Source organism: Homo sapiens, chromosome 11 (genome assembly GCF_000001405.40).
Source record: "Homo sapiens chromosome 11, GRCh38.p14 Primary Assembly".
NCBI classification, from domain to species: domain Eukaryota; kingdom Metazoa; phylum Chordata; class Mammalia; order Primates; family Hominidae; genus Homo; species Homo sapiens.
Genome location: NC_000011.10, coordinates 22,338,258 through 22,358,912, shown reverse-complemented (window position 1 = coordinate 22,358,912; position 20,655 = coordinate 22,338,258). Strand labels below are relative to the sequence as shown.

The 20,655-nt window shown below is 39.4% G+C and overlaps 1 protein-coding gene across 1 annotated transcript in view; it reads right to left on the bottom strand.

Annotated features, from left to right (window-relative positions):
- SLC17A6 (solute carrier family 17 member 6) overlaps positions 1-20,532 on the bottom strand; it is a 41,123-nt gene extending 20,591 nt beyond the window's left edge. The window contains exons 1-3 of the mRNA NM_020346.3: positions 20,294-20,532; positions 17,133-17,385; positions 15,548-15,666 (exon numbers count right to left, since the gene is read on the bottom strand). Of these exons, the coding sequence (NP_065079.1) occupies positions 15,548-15,666; positions 17,133-17,385; positions 20,294-20,379 (458 nt within the window). The 5' untranslated portion in view covers positions 20,380-20,532. The remainder of the gene's footprint in view (positions 1-15,547; positions 15,667-17,132; positions 17,386-20,293) is intronic.
- Between the last annotated feature and the right edge of the window lie 123 nt (positions 20,533-20,655).

The window sequence follows — 20,655 nt, the reverse complement described above, 5'->3', positions numbered from 1 at the left end:
TGCACATACAGAGAAATTTTATAAATGAACTCGTATTTTAAATGAACCAAGAAGTCTCTTGATTAAATCCCTTAGCACATGTTCTCGAAATAATGCAAATAATTATACTTAGTATATCTCTCTCAGGTTTCTCATTTTTTTCTTCTGTTTGAGACACATCTCGAGCAGCCTACATACAACCATTCAAGAAAAAAATGCCAGAAACGTAATGCTAAAGCTTTTATCCATCTACAAGTAAAAATTCCATTCCTTCGTTAAAAAAAGAAAAAAAAATCTTCTGGTCGGGTGCAGTGGCTCACTCCTGTAAACCCCAGCACTTCTTCGGGAGGCCGAGGCGAGCGGATCACAAGGTCAGGATCTCAAAACCAGTCTGGCCAACATAGTGAAACCCCATCTCTACTACACAAAATACAAATAATTAGCTGGTTGTGGTGGTGTGCGCCTGTAATCCCAGCTACTCAGGAGGCTGAGGCAGGAGAATTGCGTGAACCCAGGAGGCAGAGGTTGCAGTGAACCAAGATCGCACCATTGCATCCTGGGCGGGCAACAGTGTGAGATTCTGTCTCAAAAAACAAACAAACAAACAAACAAACAAACACTTCTATAATGTTTATACCAAGTAAGAAAAGTATTCCTTTAGCTCGGTTACTTTATAACTATTCCCTTGCAAAGATGTTTTGGGACGTGCTAACTCCAATGAGCTAATCTATATATTTTAGGCAAATTTTATCAAGCCAAACACGAGCCTTAAATTCAGTCAATGTTGGTTGCCTCATAGAAGCTCTAATCTTTCTTGTGGGCACTTTTAAATGTTACTGTTAAAGACCTGGATTTCTGAAAAGGACCCTCTATGATTATTATTAATCAGCTACAGAAAGGTGAGAAATGACATCCCAAACAGCAGTGAATTAAAACTTTTTCTATTGATTATATACTAGCCAAATAATTTTGTGTAAAAATATATGTAGCCTGTACCCGCCTTCCCTTAGTGGCTTCTCTCCACTGAGATAAATGATCACTCATGAAGTGAATATTCTGCTCCATTCTTCCTCTGTGCTGTTTGCCCAAAATAGATGTCCTTTTGTTTTAAGCCAAAGATAATTTTGCATGCTAAGGTTTGAGGACAAACTTTTATCCAGGTTTAGCTAATATGTGTGTCTTATTTTATTATAATTGTTTTAGAGGTACGATGAATAAATTTTATTTTCTGTGAATGTAACATTCTATCATCACTGTCTCTCCCTTTTTGAAGGGTTTGTAAATACGATTGTCTCGTGATAAGCTGGTGAGAGATGAATATTACCCATTCTTTAGCTTAGTTTCTTAACCTCTTCATGATTGAAATTTGGGCGTAGATAACCGTTTGTTGTGGAGTGCTGTCCTGTGTACTGTATGACAATTAGCACCATCTCTGGCATTTATTCACTAGATGCCAGTAGCACACACCCCTCCTCTAAGTTATGGCAACCAAAAATGTCTTCAGTAATTGTCAAATGTTCCCTGCAAGAAAAATCACCCCCTTAGTAAAGCTGAATCAAGTATGAATTATTTGTTGAATGTACACTATAGTCAGAGCTAAATTTAATGAGTGCTTATTCGACTTGCTAGATACCATATTAACGCTTCACATGCCATAAACTCCACAAGCACCTAACAACCCAGAGACATGGGTATTATTCATTATACCATATATCCATTAAAACATATACCAATGTTATAGATGGAGAAACTAAACCTAAGATAAGTAAAATCACTAGTTCAGGTGCTTAACCAGTTTTAAGTAGAGGAAACCTGTTTCAGATATAGTTCTGTTTTATTTAAAACCCAATGAGTTTTGCCACTAGGATTTATACCTGATTATGCATATACTAGGTAGTTAGTAATATACTTCAGCATTCAAACTGTAAATTTAAATGATAATCTTCACAAAGCCACTTGATATCACACTATTATTTCTGAAATAAAATGCCAAAAGATTACTTTTAATGTTTACTTTTCATTCTTACTCTGAATAATGTTTCTAATTATACAATATCATGGCATAATTGAAGTGGTTTTAATTTTAAGTTCCTTAATTTCTACATGGTCTTACTCTGTCACCCAGGCTGGAGTGCAGTGGCACTATCTTTGCTCACTGTAACTTCTGCCTCCTGGGTTCAAGCAATTCTTATGCCTCAGCCTCCTGAGTAGCTTGGAGTACAGGCCCACGCCAACATGCCTGGCTAATTTTTTGTATTTTTAGTATACACTGGGTTTTGCCAGGTTGACAAGGCTGGTCTTGAACTCCTGACCTCAAGTGATCCACCCTCTTCAGCTTTCAAAAGTGCTGAGATTAGAGGTGTGAGCCACCATGCCTGGTCTCTTAATTTCTTTATCTATCCTTTTTTTCATTATTAGTGGGCGCTTCATCTCAAAATCCATTGAATTCCCTGTAACTAGTTAAGAATCCATCAAACTTTACAAATCTCATCTTCTTATTTAATTTTATATAATTGTTATCCTAATTAATATCTAAGTAATTAAAATTCTGATTATCAAAATTCTTGCCCTAAATGGAAAGCCTTTACACCTTGTCTTGCCACACAGCCAAAATTGAAGCAGCCTCCCCATTCAATATTCATTCATGCATTTACACTTCAAACATCTGTGAGACTATATTCACAGGAGAGTATTGTGTGGAAGAGAAGGTAAGAGTTACAGGTCATTTACTGTAATTTCTCCATTTGTATTGACTCATTTAATTCTCACAACAACTCTCTGAGTTGTTACACTTTCCTCTCATTTTATAAATAAGGAAATTGAAACAAAGTGTGGCCAAGAAAAAAAGCAAGTAGTAAAGCTCAGATTTAAATCCAGGGCTCTCTGACATGAAAATCTGTGCTCTTTCAGTCACATGATGTCAGCAGGCACTTAGAAAAAGAAGAGGATGGACCTCAGTGTAGTAGGAGAGGGAGAGACCAGTAGTCCAGAGACAATGTGTGCCAAAGGCCACAACAGAAGTACAGATAGAAAACAACAGAGGAAAACATTCATCTCAGCTGAATTGACCAAGTCACAAACCTTTGGTAGGGAAACTTTCAAAGATTAATATAAAAAAGAAGAAAGACTTTCCAAAAACAAGGAATGGCTCAGCAAAGCTTCACAAATGGAAGAGGTTACCTTCTGTACCAGAAACTAAGGAAGTATTGAAAATGGCTGAACATAGTGGCTCAGGTTCTTAGGAGAAGGAAGAACATCTAGAGTGGGATGCTGGATGAGGAGGCTTTGAGGAAGTGTTAGATAGTCCAAGAAGGTGAAGGGTGAAATCCATCAGTCTGTGACATCTTGGAGATTATTGAGTTTGGGGTGACTTCAGAGGGTGACAATTATACCCCTAAAGTGAGGTAAGTGTGAAGCTTAGTGGGATTGAGGAGAGAGGGGTCTAAAAGCCAGGAAGCAGGAGGTGGTTAACAACCACCTAAGTTCAGCCAGGATGATGGCTTGCAGAGGAGCAAGGGGTCAAAGTCACTAATGGTAGAAGAGGGTGGGGGGAAAGGCTGATATAATGCTACAGTAATTTTTGTAGGACCCCAGCTTTGTCACTTAATAATTATGTAACTAGTACGTTGTTTAACTTCCCTAAACTTCTGCTTCCTTGTCTTTAAAAACGACATCACTAGGTAATGGTTCAGAGCATGGATTCCTGAGCCAGACTGCCTGGGTTCACAGTTCATCTGACACTTATTACTGAGTGACCTTGAGCACCTTATGTAACTTTCTGTTCCTCATTTCTCATCTAAACAATGGGAATATTAACAGAACCTATGAGTTATTTGAAGTAAAACAACCAGAAGAATGGCTGGCACACTCTAAGCATTTAAAGAATGTTGGAACTTGCATGATAATAATACTAATGTGTTGTATCTCTTAGGATTACTGTTAGGCTAAATAGAATGGTGTACCTAAAGGACTTAGTCTGATGCTTGACATATGACAATAAATTCATAACTATGAGCCAGTCAGGTAGAGACAGTAGTTGTCAATTGTTATTGAATTGTTAGTGTGGATATCACTTCTAGATTCTCATTTTTACTGAACAACAATATTAGAAAGCTCTTACTGCCATCTTTACTTCACAGACGGTGTAACCATGTCCGAGTGAGTAAAAATAACTTGCCAACATCATATAGATAGTAAGTAGAGAACTATGGTTTACATTACTTATCTGTTGTAGATCCTGGATATCTAACCACTAAGATCTACTTACTGTAATAGCCGCAGAATGAGTACTGGCATTAACAATGCCAACAGCAATATATAAAATAACATAAACTTTGAAAGATGAAAATTTTATTGAAAGATGGATGGTAGTAGCAGTGGGAAGTGAAAGCAGAATTCTACCCCATCTCTCTTATGTTTTGAAGTAAGTAGTTAAATGGAGAGGGTCATTTATGAAAGTTTTGTATTTTCTTAAACGAAGTATAAGTTTCAAAAAGAAATGAAAGAAGTAGTGGAACTGAATATGAAAAAGAATTTTAAGAGTATAAAATTGCCGGGCGCGGTGGCTCACGCCTGTAATCCCAGCATTTTTGGGGGCCGAGGTGGGTGGATCGCCTGAGGTCAGGAGTTCAAGACCAGCCCGACCAACATGGTGAAATCCCGTCTGTACTAAAAACACAAAAATTAGCTGCGTGTGGCGGTGGGCACCTGTAATCTCAGCTACTCAGGAGGCTGAGGCAGGAGAATCACTTGAACCCGGGAGGCAGAGGTTGTGGTGAGCTGAGATCGTGCCACTGCACTCCAGCCTGGGCAACAAGAGCAAAACTCTGTCTCAAAAAAAAAAGAAGAAAAAAAATATAAATTGTTTAGCACAGTAGTTTCTAGACTTTCACATGCATGATATAAACCTAGGCCTTGTTAAAATACAGATTGCTAGGTGTTAGAGTTTCTGAGTCAGTAGATGTGTTTGGGGCCTGAGAATTTGCATTTCTAACCAGTTCCCAGGTTATTCTAGTATTTCTTGTTCTGCTTTGGGAATCATTGGTTTAGCAGTACCATGCCAGATATTCCCCCAGGACATCACAAAAGGGGCAGATATGGGGTGAAGACCCAGACCTAGAAAAAACAAAGCTAGACAAAGTTGGACATAGTGGAAACAAAGGGCTTACATTTTGTTATAGAGGGTAGAGGCAAGGGTAGAATAGAAACATTGCTAAAATGGAAGATGTCCTTTAAAAAACACAAATGGATATTAGATTGTTAGATCAAAAATGAAAATGAAGTTCTCTGTTCTGCTTTTGACCATTCTTATTGACCAAATTGACTGAGCAGCTGCCATATTTTTCTTGGGGACATTTAAATAGCATGATACAGTATTAGTTAAAAAGACAAGTTTCTTTTTTTATTACCCTGTGAAAATCCAAATTCCAACTCCAATTTCTTGCTAAGTAAGACTTTGAGCAAGTTGTCATTACTTAAATTCTTTTAGCCTCATTTCTCAGTCTGTTCCTTGTAGGCATTTAAATAGTATGATATAGTATTAGTTAAGAATGAGAGGTTTTGTTTTGTTTTGTTTTGTTTTGTTTTGGTTACACTGTGAAAATCCAAATTAAAATTCTAATTTCTTGCTAAGTATGACTTTGGGCAAGTTGTCATAACTTAAATTCTCTTAGCCTCATTTCTTGGTCTGTATAATGGAAATGTTTCCATACTTCAAAAAAGTATCATGAAGACTAAATAAATCAATTATGAAAGGGGACACTGTATGGTCCATAATAAATGGCTTGTCAAGGTTAGCCATTATTATACAGAAATTTCCTAATCTTTAATAGACTTTTCAAAGAATGATTATTTCGCATCTTTTTCTCCAGAATGATTTTGCACTGATTAAATAGTGTTAATTCTGTGCCCGTGAACACATGGTTGTTCCATATCAGGCTGAAATTCTAGCAGCTTTCATTAAGTGCAGAAGACATGTAATGGGAATTTTATCTTCCATTCTGAATTCATACAGAATTGATTGAAATGCATCAGCCTCTTAGTCTGTGCCTCAATAGTCCATCTAAAGTATCTCATGGGAAATGACCAGAAAAGAAAATTCACAGTCTTTTTTAAATCAATAACTGTCTCAGTGTCCTTCCACTTTATCCTTCAATACTCACTCATGCCCCCACCCTCAAAAACACACCTCTTTTTCAACTAGTCTCCTCTCAGATATTGCTAAACTACTGTAGATCACCTTTGTAAGACTTAACTCATGAGGTTGTACATTCCCCAAGCCGTCCCATTATTTTTTCTCTTGGAGAATTGGGTCCAGGTCTCCACTTCTTTAAACTCCATGGTGCTAGCACAATGCTTTTCATATGGCATGTTCTCAGGAATGAGCATCCAATTCTTTTTGTGCAAAGACTCTCAACTGAGGGTAATTATAACTTCCTCTTCTGAGGTATATGTAGGTGATAACAGATCTTTCTTCTATGAATATTTATTTCAAGCAGTTTATCATTTATTTCTTCTCTAGCTTTTAATAGGGACAGACTGCTGTTCTGGGTATCCTATCAATTCTAGGAAGCTGAGTTATTTTCATAGAATAACTGTAGGTTGACAGCTATGGGCTATAATTTAGAGTACTCCTGTAGATAAATCCTCACTTGAGATAGTTGCTGAGTTCAAGTACATGACCCAGTGTGGCCTCAGTCTTGCATCTTGCAAAGAACACTGGAATCCCCTGAAACTAGCAGCCATCACATTGCCTGTTACTGCCTGTTCATCACTAGATCCTCATCAGCCTCTGAAACCACTGTCTCTGAAGCTCTGCTTTCAAAATTAAATTAGGAAATAATGCTTCAGAGGCGATAAGGTGTCCTCTTAAAGAACCTCACCATTCATTAATACTTAATATAGTTATATATATTATATTATGCTTGTTTCATCATTTTTGTTTGGTCTGATGCTAGAAGACAGAAGCATTAAATATATTTTCTGTATATTAGCAGACAGAAGGAAATAGATTATATAACAAGAAACATTTAATGTTCATGTGAGTTTTATTATCCCTAGGATTACTCTTAACTTTGACACTTATAATTGGGTTTCACAGCACTACTGCCCTGAAAATGATGTTCATCATTAAAACGTTTTAAAGTTATTCTCTGATCAAAAACTTGTCTAACAATGAAAACCTCCCAAGTAAATCATTTCTCAAAATTGTTCCACAGGCTAGTTCTTTCCTATTTACCTAGCCCAGCACTAAATAATATAGTGATTTTTTTAAGAAGCTGTAAAATACAATGTTTTTAAAGAAAACACACAGTAAAAATATTTAATAAGAGAAATGTGTTTAGTAAAGAATGATATAATTTGAAATCAGACATCCTGGGGTCCATAACCCAGCTCTGCCTCATACCATCTAGTGTATCGGGGAAAACGATTCTGTATTCAGTTTTCTCAAGAGTAAAAGAAGTATCAGTATGCCTGCCTTCATGGTCATAAACATAGAAATTATAGGCACTGGGGACTCCAAAAGAGAAGAGTGTGAGAGTGCTTGGGGTGGTGGTGAGGGTGGAAAAATTATCTCTTAGATATAATTATCTATTTAGGTGATGGGTACCCTAGAAGCCTAAACCTCACTATTACACAATCTATCCACATGACAAGCCTGTACATGTATCCCTTGAATCTGAAATATAATAAAAGAAAGAATGTCTGCCTTATAGAGTCATGTGCGGGATAAAGATAATGTACATTACGAATTTTGTGATATATATACTTATTATTTGATTCAATTCTAATTTCACCTGCCTCCCGAAATGTAAAACAAAGGCAATTATGAAGATGATTTTATAATATAATTTATATATTCTCTTTCCACTCTAGAAAAAGCATTTTCTAGAAATAAATACATTTTGTAAAATTAAATATTTATTTTTTGATTTTTTAAATTGTAAAAGTAAGTTTTATATAATATCAGGCAGTATATTTTTATCACTATATATGAAAACAAACTATCAATGAAATACTCTAGCAAATTACACAATTTTTAACAGTAAACTCAGTAAAACATGGCTTTCTCAGAAGAAATAAAGAAGTCACATATATATATAGCTGAAATTGAAGTTCTAAATAGTAAGATGAATCTCAAGCAGTCTGGTATTTCATTTCACTTAAGATCTTTCTCCTTATAATTGGCACCTAAGGTGTTAGATTTAAAACCCACTTCTGGTGTGAATATAAGTCAGAGATAGGCTGTCAGTAATTGGGCTGGGGAAAAAAAGGAAAGAAATGTGCAAACTAATGTGTAAAATAACAATTTTATTATTTCTTAAGAAAAGACATAGAAATTGATGGGTGTTCTTAATTTTTCAAAGGACAGTATTACAGTCGCTGTGAAATAAAATAAGGGCCATTTGCTTATTAAAGATGTTTTCAAAATAATAAACCATTTGAAAACCACTTAAAATTGTTGGGTTTTTTTTTGTGATTTCCTCTGCAGCAAATAACATTCTCAAATAAATTTGCTGATTATTATCAGGTTAAAGCCTGATTTCTGCTTTTCTTCTACTTGTCACACACACATACACTTTCCCTTCTTTTACAGTATGAAATAATCATATGTCATTATTTTATGCACATTGATGTTCTTAAATGGCAGGAAGCTCTATACCACTATAGAGATTGCCAAAATCAAGAGGTGTAATAGTAATCATGACACAGAAATGTTTGGAAAGGCAAATGCAGCTGCTGAAAACCTGTATCACAAACTGCCTGATGATTAGCATTCAATATGGCCCATAATGAGTTCGCTTTGAAATTCCTAATCATATTTTCTATGACCCACAGCCACAAACACCCTCAAGTATCAAGCCCACCCCAAAATGATTTGCCCAGAAAAGGTGAAAGGAGCACTGGTGACTTGTCACTTCTACAGATGATGTTCATTTTCCCTAAATCAATCAATCCACTTCCATTTGGGCAGTGGATTGTCACTTAACAGGAGACTAGTGTTCCTCACCTCAGGTGTGGAACTAATTCTTTCCTGGAGGGTCTGCAGCAGACTGACTCAGGCTGTTTAATCTATTTAATCTAATCAAATCAGGGCTTGGATGCCTCCCTTTGTCACATCTGATGCCCCCACTCCCATATTAAACAGGGAATACACAGGCATGAGCCAACCCTCTGAGTCCCTTGATACATCATTAAGTTGTAAAAATGACTTCATCACTCATGACAGAGAGATGAGACAGTCCCAGTGGTAGCATATGGCAGTAGGAGCATCACTCTACCAGCTGCCCACATGACTCTCTCCTTCCTCAAATCATGTCTCTCCCCTCCAGAAGCTGCCTCTGCACTGCAGTAGCAGAATGCTGCAGCAGCGGGAAAAGCCAGAGCTAGTAAGGGGTAAGGGATTGGAGAATGAAAAGAGAGCTAGAGAAACTCTTATCGGCAAAGTACATGCAAGCCCTTGGAGACCCCTCCCTCCTCAATCCATCTATTCATCTTATGGTAAAGGGTATTTTCTTTTGTCAGAAAAATGCAGGCTTCTCCTGACTTACCCCAGATACCTAACCTATGGGGCCCACAATAGGAAGGCAGCTAGATGTTTGATTGGCAGCTAGATGCACGAGATAGAAAAAGTCACCTCTGGCCTTAAAAGACTGGGTGCTTATAAAGCATTTCCACTGGAACAGGATGGTGGTCCCTTTCAGCAGGATTTATGTTCATAGTCTGAATTATTTTCTCACACATAAGGAATTCACAAATATTTCTCACTGGAAGGATTGAGGAACTCCTTCTTGCAATGGAGGTTGCAATGGATAGGTAAGTAGAGAGGAAAAAATATTACATAGACAGACCAATAGCGTGTGTGTGTGTGTGCATGTGTGTGTTTGTGTGTCCGTGTGTGTTTGATGATGGTGCTTAGGAATTCATTTCCAATGCTTATTCCAACAAATAAATAAAAGCACATCTTTACTGTTGCATCTCTCTGAAGAAAAAAGACAGAACAGCACCAGTAAAATTGCTCCTTTCTGGGCTTAACACATGAAGATATTATGTTTAAAATGTCTTCTTCTCCTTTCGAAAATTATTCTAACAAGAGATGTTTCATAATTATGCCAGCCAGAATATTTACCTAAAGTATATTAAAATTTATTTTTATAAATACAAATGTACACTAGTAAATTTTAAAGCCATGCTTTTGGGTTTGCTCACTTTTAAGTATAAATTACTTTCTATTTTATACAGCATGTAAATTGAGTTGCATCAGTCAAAACCCCAAGGATAAATCCCTTCATTTCTGCAGACAAAAGTCTAATCTACACCCAGTCATGTTCAAATCTCTGCAATTTTAGTTCTAAGAGCCCAAACTGACAAGGTGTCTGCGTGGCAGAAAAAGTTATAAATACCATGTTCTCTGTTACAGAATATCAGATTCTTCATCTTAGTCATTATCAAGTGTGGAGTTTGCCTTTTGCGGAGAAAAGGGCAGAATCAGCTATGTTGTCACCAAATAGCTTGGGAGCCAGTACACACACACACAAAAAATTCAGTATGATTCTCCTGCCAAAATAAAATCTAAGGATCCCTTGGGCCCGCTAAAGGCTTCTCTCGCTAATTCATGAAATTCTTCCCTGGATTTGGGGCATGATAGATTGTAATCACTCATTCAGAGAGCAGATGGCTCAGCCTACTGCTGAAAGCAAACTTTGCAATGAAGCATATAGTATCAGAGAGACATGTTAAATTTCATTGTAAAGGTACCTTGCCATCATGTATCATCAGACAAGTGAGTTCTAGTCACAATCCCTTTGTGACCTCAGATAAATCACTACTCCCTCAGTTCTCTATTTCCTGCTCTGTAAAATGAGAGGGTTGGATTAGATGAGCTCTGTCCAGCAATAATATGGGTTCTTCCTGTTGTGGGGTTCACTATATGCTACAACCAAGTGTGATCCTAAGTGTCTTACTCAAATAAAGAAGTATTTTTTCTTTAGAAAAAGTCAAGTTAGAAATTCAAGAAATACTTGAAAACACAAAAATAAAGGATTACGGTAGGGGAAAATAAACTATAACTTTGAATAGAGAAGTCTAACCTCAAGCTAAAATGGATTTCTCTAAGTGAATTTATGCTTGGCTAGAATTCAAAGATTGGATGTACTGAATCATTAGCACTCTATACACTTGGCTAAAAATATTTTTAAAACAGCTCTTTAAAGGCCTTCAAATAAAATTTACGGAATTTTTAGTGAACAATAATTTCAATTTGAATAATGTACATGGGAAAATAATTTTAAAGGTAGAAATATGACTCATGAAAAAAGGCATTTTTATCACACTAGAAATAAACCATTTGCATTATTAATGCTTCAGGTAAATTCATACAAAAATAAGCTGAATAGTCACAGAGGTTTTATTCCTTCCTTTTTTTTTCCCGAAAGTTAAGATTTCATTAATACTAAATAATAACGGCAAGCAATTACCTAGTTCCAGGCACTTCAGAAAACTTTACATATATTTAGCTGTTACGACCCACATGAGGTAGGTACTTTGATTAGCCCTCCTTTACAGAAATACAAACTAAGGTGTAAAGGGGATAAATCACATTTTATATCATTCAGTTACTTAGTAACACATTCAAGAGCCTGAACCTACAGTTTGGCTTTAGAGCCTAAATCTTACTGCTTTTTTTTTTAATCCCCAAACACCTTGTTGTGATATTTATTTTATTTATTTAACGAGTATTTATCATGAGTCAGGTACTCTCTGAGATACTAGTAATATAGCAATGAAAAAAACAACAACATGGGCAAAACTACCATTAGAGAAACAGATAAATAAGTAAAATATTGATATGACAGGTGGTGATAAGTGCCATGTAAAAAAATAAAGCAGCGTTGAGAAATCAAGAGGATAGGAGCAGGGTATTAAAAATATTAAATAGAGTTTAAATAATATCACCACCTAAATAAAGGCAAAACAGTTTTGTGATACAGTGCTATACATTAAACATATAATGTTCATCAAACTCCCTTTGCTGTATCTGACCTTCTATGGTTATGCCTTTTGCAAAAAAAATGTATATTTATATATTTTATATATTTATATATATTTCATATATTATATATATATATGCTATTTATGCCATTAAACACGTGTCCGTGTTCTTCACAGCAATTTAAATACAGGGTAAAACCAGTGCTTAGGAATTTCATATTTGTAAATATCTGGATTACTATAAGCCGATGTCCTGTATTATTTAAAGACAAAAATAATTTGCCCCCCACATTTTTTTATTACCATATTAATATGTTCTCATCTTAAAACATTAAAGATTTTGTAAGGAATTTTCCTTTGACCCCCCACCCTAAGGCCTTTCCTGGAGGTGACTAAATTCTCCAGCCCATAATGTGCAATAGCTCTTTAAGGGAAGACAAAGGAAAAAGTGATGCAAGAGCCATCCTTCCTCTGAGACTGGGTTTACTCCCCTCCTGACTCTTCCAACTCCTCCTCTCAATGATCAGGAAAGTAAATATACTTAGAATCTGAGTAGTATAAGAACCAGGAGTCTGCATTGTGACCAAGAGTGGGGCTGTCTTTGCTTAATCAATAAACTGAAGAAGCCAAATAATTGCTCTTTGTTTTTCATTGAGAAATTTGCCAAGAGATGTAGCCAGGAGCCCTTCTCTCTTGAGTGGCTGTCTCCACACACCTCAGTTTATCTTCCTCAGTTCCACCACAACAGTGGTGGCAAAACTTTCCAAAGTGAGACTCTTTTACACCTAGAGGGAAAGGAATCTGTCCCCAATATCACATGCAAAGGAAATCTCATTCTATTCTTAAGTGATCAATATAGAGAAGCTTATTTGAATGGGTACATGATGCTCATAAGTGGAAGATTGGTTTTGCTGTTTTGTCTTTACTGTTTTTGAAAAAGAGATCATAATAGGAAATATACGTCTTTCAAACAACTTGTAAAAATCTCTGATTTTGTGTTTATTAAAAGTCTTCTAAGGTAAAATTCTATGTAGCATTTGTAGTACTAGTTGGACATTCACCATGTTAATAATAGGGGTATCAGGCTGATTAAATTTTTATCATTTTTATAATTTTTTTCTTACTAATGTGCAATATTGTTATAACATGAAAAGAAAATGTTATACATGTTTAAAAACCATTTTCACACAAGGCTTCAACTGCATTTTGCAATGTTTTGTTATATTTTCAAAATGAAGCAAAATGTCAGAATCTTCAGGCAAGATAAGGTAGTTGATCTCTATAATTTTCTATAGGTTCATGATATTTTACAATACATTTTTAATTTAATTTTCTCAGTATCATAGAACATAACATATCATATATGAAAATATTAAGGCCTTTCCCTTGAATACCCATTTAAAGGTAAGATTAATTTGGATCCAAATAGGAATTCCAAAAATTAAAATTTTTTTCTATAAAAAAATTAGCTGGGGGTGGTGGTTCACACCTGTAGTCCCACTACTCGGGAGGCTGAGGCAGGAGAATCACTTGAACCCAGGAGGTGGAGGCTGCAGTGAGCCCAGTTCGTGCCACTGCACTTCAGCCTGGTGACAGAGTGAGAATCCATCTCAAAAAAAAAAAAAAATCTTTTGAGTAAAATCTACCAGATAAATTAGAACCTGAGTCAGCATCACTCTTTTCATTGCTAAACATGACACAGATAATAATGAGTTTGCTTTTTTTTTTTATTTAAATAATCGGAAAAACCCGTTTACTGACTTCCTAGTGTTACAAAGAGGAAAAGCTGGAGCATCCCTGGTGTTTTTTCCCGGCAGGAAAATGTTAGCATTTTAATATTTGACAAGGTGAATATTTTGACTCTGAAAAAAACCCTTAAAGTCACCACCATTATATTTTCATTTGACATCATATTGAGATCTTGTATCATTTTTGTTTTTTGGTGAATTGTTGGATTTTTTTTTCTCCTGCAGTGAAAACATTCCATGCATGTATGTTTAGGGTATCTTTCTGAAAACTTTGTTTTAATTTAGGAAATACTTTTTAGGGAAAAAAATGAGTGAAGACTATATATATTGGGGATCTAAAAACCAAAAATATAACATGCTCATAATCAATAATATTTGACAGAATGTCTTTAATTTTTGCCTACTATCAATGTTTTGTTTGATTTACCACATCCATAAAAAGGGGTTCTCTACATAGTTAATGAGTTTCATCAAGTGTCCATCAGCAGATGAATGGATAAATAAAATGTGGTACATATACACAATAAATTGATTTTTTTAAAGGGACTGTTTGTCTACTACTTGCTCTTAGTGTCAGCCATCCGTATTTCAAGTAAAGACGATACTCGAAAGGCATTATTCCTAATGTATGGCACTCTCCTCTTGACATTTTAAAGCACTGCCCCAAAACCCTCACTCTAGGGATCCTTAAGCCTAAAATAAATTTCCAAGAATTCCTCCCCAGGCCCTGAGGACTCTGAGAAGCCTTGGGCAGAAATGACACCGCTAGTGAAAGGGATAGTAATTGACAAAAGATGCAGTATGGGGCCTGAGAGATGAGGTGTGCCCAGGTTACAAAGGGCCAGGTTGCATATGACCACTATTAGGGAGATGCCAACTTCTAGTCCTCTTCCTTTAAAATGTGAGTTTTGGGTGTAGGAAGAGGAATGAAGTTTTAGGTACAATAAAGCCTGGAAGTCTTTATTTGCGGTATCTAAGCAGAAAGACCAGAAAGAGCTGGTGCATGTGTTCTGTGTGGGTTCAACAATTCAGACGTGAAGAGCATTTAGTTTTGCTTATCAATGTACACACAGTGAAGCAAAGGAAGCTGCCCCTCACCTTCTGGTGGCCAAGCGTGCCCCTCGACACCTCCACCCCATCGGTCCTTAGGTCTTATGCTTTAGGGGTGTCTCTCCAGGTGCCGTTGGTGGCGCTTCTGGGAACTGGCGCTAGGACCTTGGTTGTGGACACCGCAGCAAGGCAGGAGGCCACTGAAAGCAGCTGAGGGCTCCCCCAACGCCCGCCCCTACGCAGCTCATTAACAGGTGAAATCGCATCGCTGGTGCCTGCCCCCCTAGAAACAAATACTTCATACCCAGAGCACCAACTGGGCGGGGGACGGGGCCAGGTCTTCGAGGCGCCTTGCCAGGAGGTCAGACCCTCGGGGAGCCTGGGAGCCTGCGGGGAGTGCAGGAGAGAGCGCAGCATCTGCCGTTCTACACCCCTTTGTGCACTCAGGCGCACTGTCCCTGCTCTGCCTGCTCCCGGTCTGCCCTCAGCTCCTGTCAGGCCATACAGCACGTCGATTATTTCGCCAAAAGCAAGTTCAGCCACAGCAGAGGGAAGGAGGCCGCGTGCGCTGGTCCCAGAGAGCCTACATTCGTTTAGGCGACTAATTCAGGAAGGAGTCACCAGCAGCTCCAGCCCTGAGAGGGTGTGTCAAGGGACTAGAAGACTTCGCCCGGGAGTCCTCAAACCCCTCTGGGCTGTTGTCTCTGCTCCAGCTTCTGCTGCCCCTTCGGAGGAAACAAACACCACGCCCCGAGCCCCAGTCCCGCCTGGCGCATTACCTGTTGGCTGCCAGCCGAGACGCGATGTAGCCTCCCGGAATCTGAGTGATGATGTAGCCCCAAAAGAAGGAACCGTGGATCATCCCCACGGTTTCCGGGTCCCAGTTGAATTTGGCTTTCTATGGAGGGGTAGGAAAAAAGTGTGAAGGGAAAGAGTAGAGTCAGTACCAAAGGCTCACTTTCAGTGGTTCACAAGCCAAAAAGCCCCCAAGGCTTGGGCGCTTCATGCATTCTGGGGATAAGAGTGGCTTCATTTTCGTTTCCTAACAAAATTGCCTCTTGCAACGAAAAAACCCTGCTCATTAACAAAATGTATTGTGATTAATAGTGAGGCCAGGCGCACTGGCTTTGCTCCCTGACTACTGTCAGGCAGATCGAATCATCTGAATGAAGGAGGAATCTAGAGGGCCCCCGTCTTGGAAATTCGGACTCCCCATGAAGAGATTTGTTAGCCAGATGTGGAGACGCCTGTCAGGGGTCCACTTAACGAATCCGGCCAATGCAGACACAGTAGTGTAGTGACTTCCAACCCTGGAGACTTAAATCGGGAAATTCTGAGGAAGGAAGGTGGGGAGCAAATGGTGAAAGGTGCAGGGCTTTTAGTGGCTAAGAGAAAGCGTGTCCCCACAAATGGGGACGGATATGGGCCTGAAGAGTTTGGAGTAGTCGGTGAAATGGGAGGAGTAAAGGGAGAGGGAGTCATTGCTCAGGGGTTTTAATAAATACGGGGCAGGGGTATTTCTGAAGGGAGGTCTAATTCCGCCCTGAGCAGCCTGGGTGACTCCCCGAGGGGAACCTCAAGGTAAACTGGGGCTCAATATTTACATCCGAAAGGTGGGAGCGCGCTTTTCCCGCCTGAGAACTGGGGACCCTTTTTCCCCTTTAAATAATATTTTGACACCCAGAGGATCTTGCAAGGTCTCCCGGATTCCAAGAGTCTTCCCCAGTTTCTCCACTCAACTCCTGCTTAGTCTGGTTTACGGCAGCTGGGGTTTCTAAGAAGGAAGTCTGGACCCAGGGGTTCTGTGACCTTGACGTGACCCTCCCCTCTCTGGGCGCGACTCCCTGCCACCCTGGGACCCTCTTACGTTGTGGCTCCTCCTGGGGGAGGTAAACCTTCCGAAAGACCACTCAGCTGAACCTGCTGATATGAACACAGCTGATTTTGTTTTCCAGTTTGTTTCATTGTGAATATTAAGAATGTTTTGGCTGGGACTGAAGTCCTGGGAAAACTATAATTAATATGCTACACTATTCATCCAAGTAAAACAAACACACTTCTATTTAGACTTAGTGGACATTGCTAGTCACCAACGTCTTGTATTAAGTCACAGTTCACAAAACCTGGTGAGCTAGACCCTCTTTTCCACTTTGCAGTTGAGGAAGGGGAGGCCCAGACAGCAGAGCGAAAAGGGAACTGATAACACTACTGGGGTCCATTCTAGAACGGCAGAGCCAGAGAGGAGCTTAGGGAGCACCCAAACCTTCCTCTCAGTGGCGGGGGAACGGGGCTCAAACAGGAGATGTGGTTTTGCGAGGCCGCATGGCCGAAGGGCAGGAGCCAGGGCGGCCAGACGTTGCCCACCTCCTTGATGACCTTGCCCCCGCGGTGGATGGTGCTGTTGTTGACCATGTCCACAATGGCCACGCCCAGGTTGCAGCGGATACCGAAGGAGATGCAGAAGCCCAGGCCGCTCATGATGGCGATAATGTAGCGGCGGGGCAGGCCGAAGCACGTGCAGTCGCACAGCGGCGCCTTCCTCTCGGGCACCTCTAGGGGCTTCCCATCCTCCGTCAGCTCGATTGTCTCCCCGGTGTCTTGCTTCTTCTCCAGCACCCTGCGCGGCAGAGCAGGGGCGAGTCAAGGACTTGGCGGCTTAGGTACCCCCGATGCTGACCCATTCCCATTTTTCAGGACCCGTCGGGGTTGGGAGGAGGGCCGTCGACCTCCCCCCACCCTCGGGGATTAGGGTGGTGGGGTGACACCAAGCTGCAAGACCTCCCAGGCTCTCTCACATTCTGCAGGTGCCCTTGGCCGCGGCGGCGGCGTCTCTTCAACTTTAACACCTTTAGGCCTAAGGTAGCGAGTCCCCATCTCGGGATCCACCCCTGGGCGCTCTGATTGAGATACACAGGCCGCTTGGGCCTAACTTTCTTGCAGGATCTGCAGGGTCTGCATTTTGTGAGGGCAGGGGTTACCAGCGCCTCCTCTGCACCTGAGTAGGCGCCTCCCACTCCTACACGCGCCCAGCAGGGCTTTACCCTGACTACCGCGGTGTCCTCCTGCAACACAGCACCAGAGAGCTGCTCCGCTGCAGGCGGGCCCAACTAGAGAGCCTTTCCCACCCGCGCTGCCTTTTCCGTTTCTAGCAAGTTGAAGCTTTCCAGGTTGACGATGCTGGTATTCCGCTCCCCAATCCACCCCCTGAGCTGAGCCTGGAGCACCCCCTGGACTAAGGCCTCTCTAGGCTAGTGCCTGTGCGTGAGGAGAAGGCCTGAGAGCTCTCGCTGAGAGTGTCATGCACTCTCCTTCCCCTTCATCCCGCCCCAGGGCTCTAGTTCAATGCTTACTCCCCTGTTACACTTCTTACTATTTTTTTTTTCTTATTACTCGAGTTGGAGACAAAGGGCTCCACAGCATATGGCCGACACCTAAGCTTCCTACTGCCAGAACATGAATAATTAATTATTCACAATCTTGCGTCATTACTATCTCTCTTACAAACACCGAAAAATGTCAAGGGTCCATTTCCCAAGACGCAAAATGCGACTCCCAGATATACAAAGGCTCCCCCAAATCAACTTTTGTAAGATATTCCACATCAAAGGGGAAGATCTCACTTAAATATTTGTTTTTGCATAGTGTTTCATAAGATTTCAACCATCAATTCATTTTTGGCTTTGGTCCTTGGGAGAAGGGACAAATGAAAAGGGGAATGCAGAGAAAAGGAATGGTTTTACTAAAAGGTGGTAGTGTTCTAGTCTACAACATATTCATGAAATTTCTATTAACAACAAACAAACAAAAGGAATGTATAAGGTAACATCTCTGTACGTAGCCCCTTGCGATTGATACTTTCGATATTTAAACAAAGAGCCTTTCCGTTTACAATTTGCAGATATTTTTTCCAATCTACCGTGTAATTGCTTTTCACCTGTGCTGTTTTAAGTGCTATGTGAACACCCAATTGTTTTCACACACACGGGTAAAGCAAGTGAAATTTTTAAACTAATTTCAAATATGCATAGCTTGGAATACTGCTGTCAAGAAGTTTGAGGCCACCCGAAGAAAAATGTCAGGCTTCCGAATTCTATAACGTAGCACCTGGAGAATAAGTCATAAAGGTATTTGTGGCTAGGTTAATGTTTATTCTTAAAGTCCGATCACAATGTTAGAAAACATTGCAATTTATTTTTACTGGGAGAAAAAAATTCAGCCAATGCGGTTTTTTTTTTTCATTTCCTGCATTTGCTTCGTGTGCTCAAATATACGAAGTTGAGCTCTGCACCGGATGGCAGTTGTACTGGGAAAGAACATCCCTTTCCATGGTAGCTGTGGGACTGCAGGGCCCTTGCGGTATCTACTGCCGCATAGGTGCATAATCGTGCCTACATGAAGCCCGCCAAACCTGAAGAGATTTGGAAAATCTGGGAGTGGTTTGATCATTTTCTTTACATTTCTCATGCATTTACAGAGACTTCAATTTCCCAAATATTAAAATTAGTGCTCCTTTGTAATTCTTTTTCCTTTTATGTCTGCCCTGTCGTCTTGATTTTGCTCTAATTATTAAGAAAAGCTGTATCCATATAACATACTTGAAATGATTTAAAGTTTTGCAAATTACAGCATAATTAGTATAGTGACTACAGGAGGATTAAATAATTAAATCATTTCTAGGACTTTCAAAGTAATGTTGCTTGTTATATTTATGGCTGTTCTTCCAGGCATTGACATTTCCTATGCAAGAAATAGACTCTAGGAGATGAAAATAATTAAAAATGCATATACATTGTTTCAGGCTCAGAGAAAGGAATTGCTTCAACTATCAATTATTGATATATTTTGATTCTTCTTCATTCAATACAGAAGACATATTTCACTAGGGGATTCTCTACTATGCTTTTGAAGCTGAGACCTCTCTCTTTCTCTCTCTCTCTAACATATATATATATATATATATATAAAACATATATATATAACATATATATATAACTATATATAACATATATATATAACATATATATATAACATATATATATAACATATATATATAACATATATATATAACATATATATATATATAAACCATTACTCTTTGGAATTTCTTGGTTATTTTTTTAGATGGTTGTGTTTTATATTCATTTGTCTGCATCAAAGGAATTTAATTCGGGGTATCTATAAGCACCAAAAGAAACGCTGTTTGAGCAGGGGCTGGCCATTTCTTAACTGTAAAGAAGATAAATCCTGTGTAGTAAAGGACAAAAACTCTGCAGGCACCAAAGCAAAAATCAAACACACACACACACACACACACACACACACACACACACACCAGACAGGTTCATTTAGTGCAACATTCCTGCATTAATAAGCAGGTTTCCAGAGCACCCCCGCTCCAAGCAATGGGCAACAAAAAGACTTTCCGATCATATTACAATCTTTCTGAGCCACCAGGGTTTACGGAAACGGCCCTGCAGATTTTTTCATGCTGAGCCCCAGGTAAGCAAGTGTTCGCTTTGTCTTACCTGTAGATCTGGCCGAGTGATTTTCCAGCAAAATTCTTTAGCCCCTCTTTTCCTGGGGCCAAAATCCTTTGTTTTACGGATTCCATTCTTGCAAAGACTGTTGTCAGTTCTTGCCAGATTTAAATAGTGATTGCTAGGAAAGGCGAGGATTGCGCATATTGTCTTAATCTCTTAAAGTAGTTGCGGGCTTTTCCTTCTCAGCAGAATGGTAGTGGCTCGCCTCCAGCAAGAGTGAGAGTGAGAGAAGGGAGGGAGAGTGAGAATGAGAATACAACAGAATAGCTGCATGCAACCCACGGGTTTCCTAATAGGAGAGTTGGTAGACACAATCAGAAAGTCTCATTGGAAGGGGAGGATCCGGT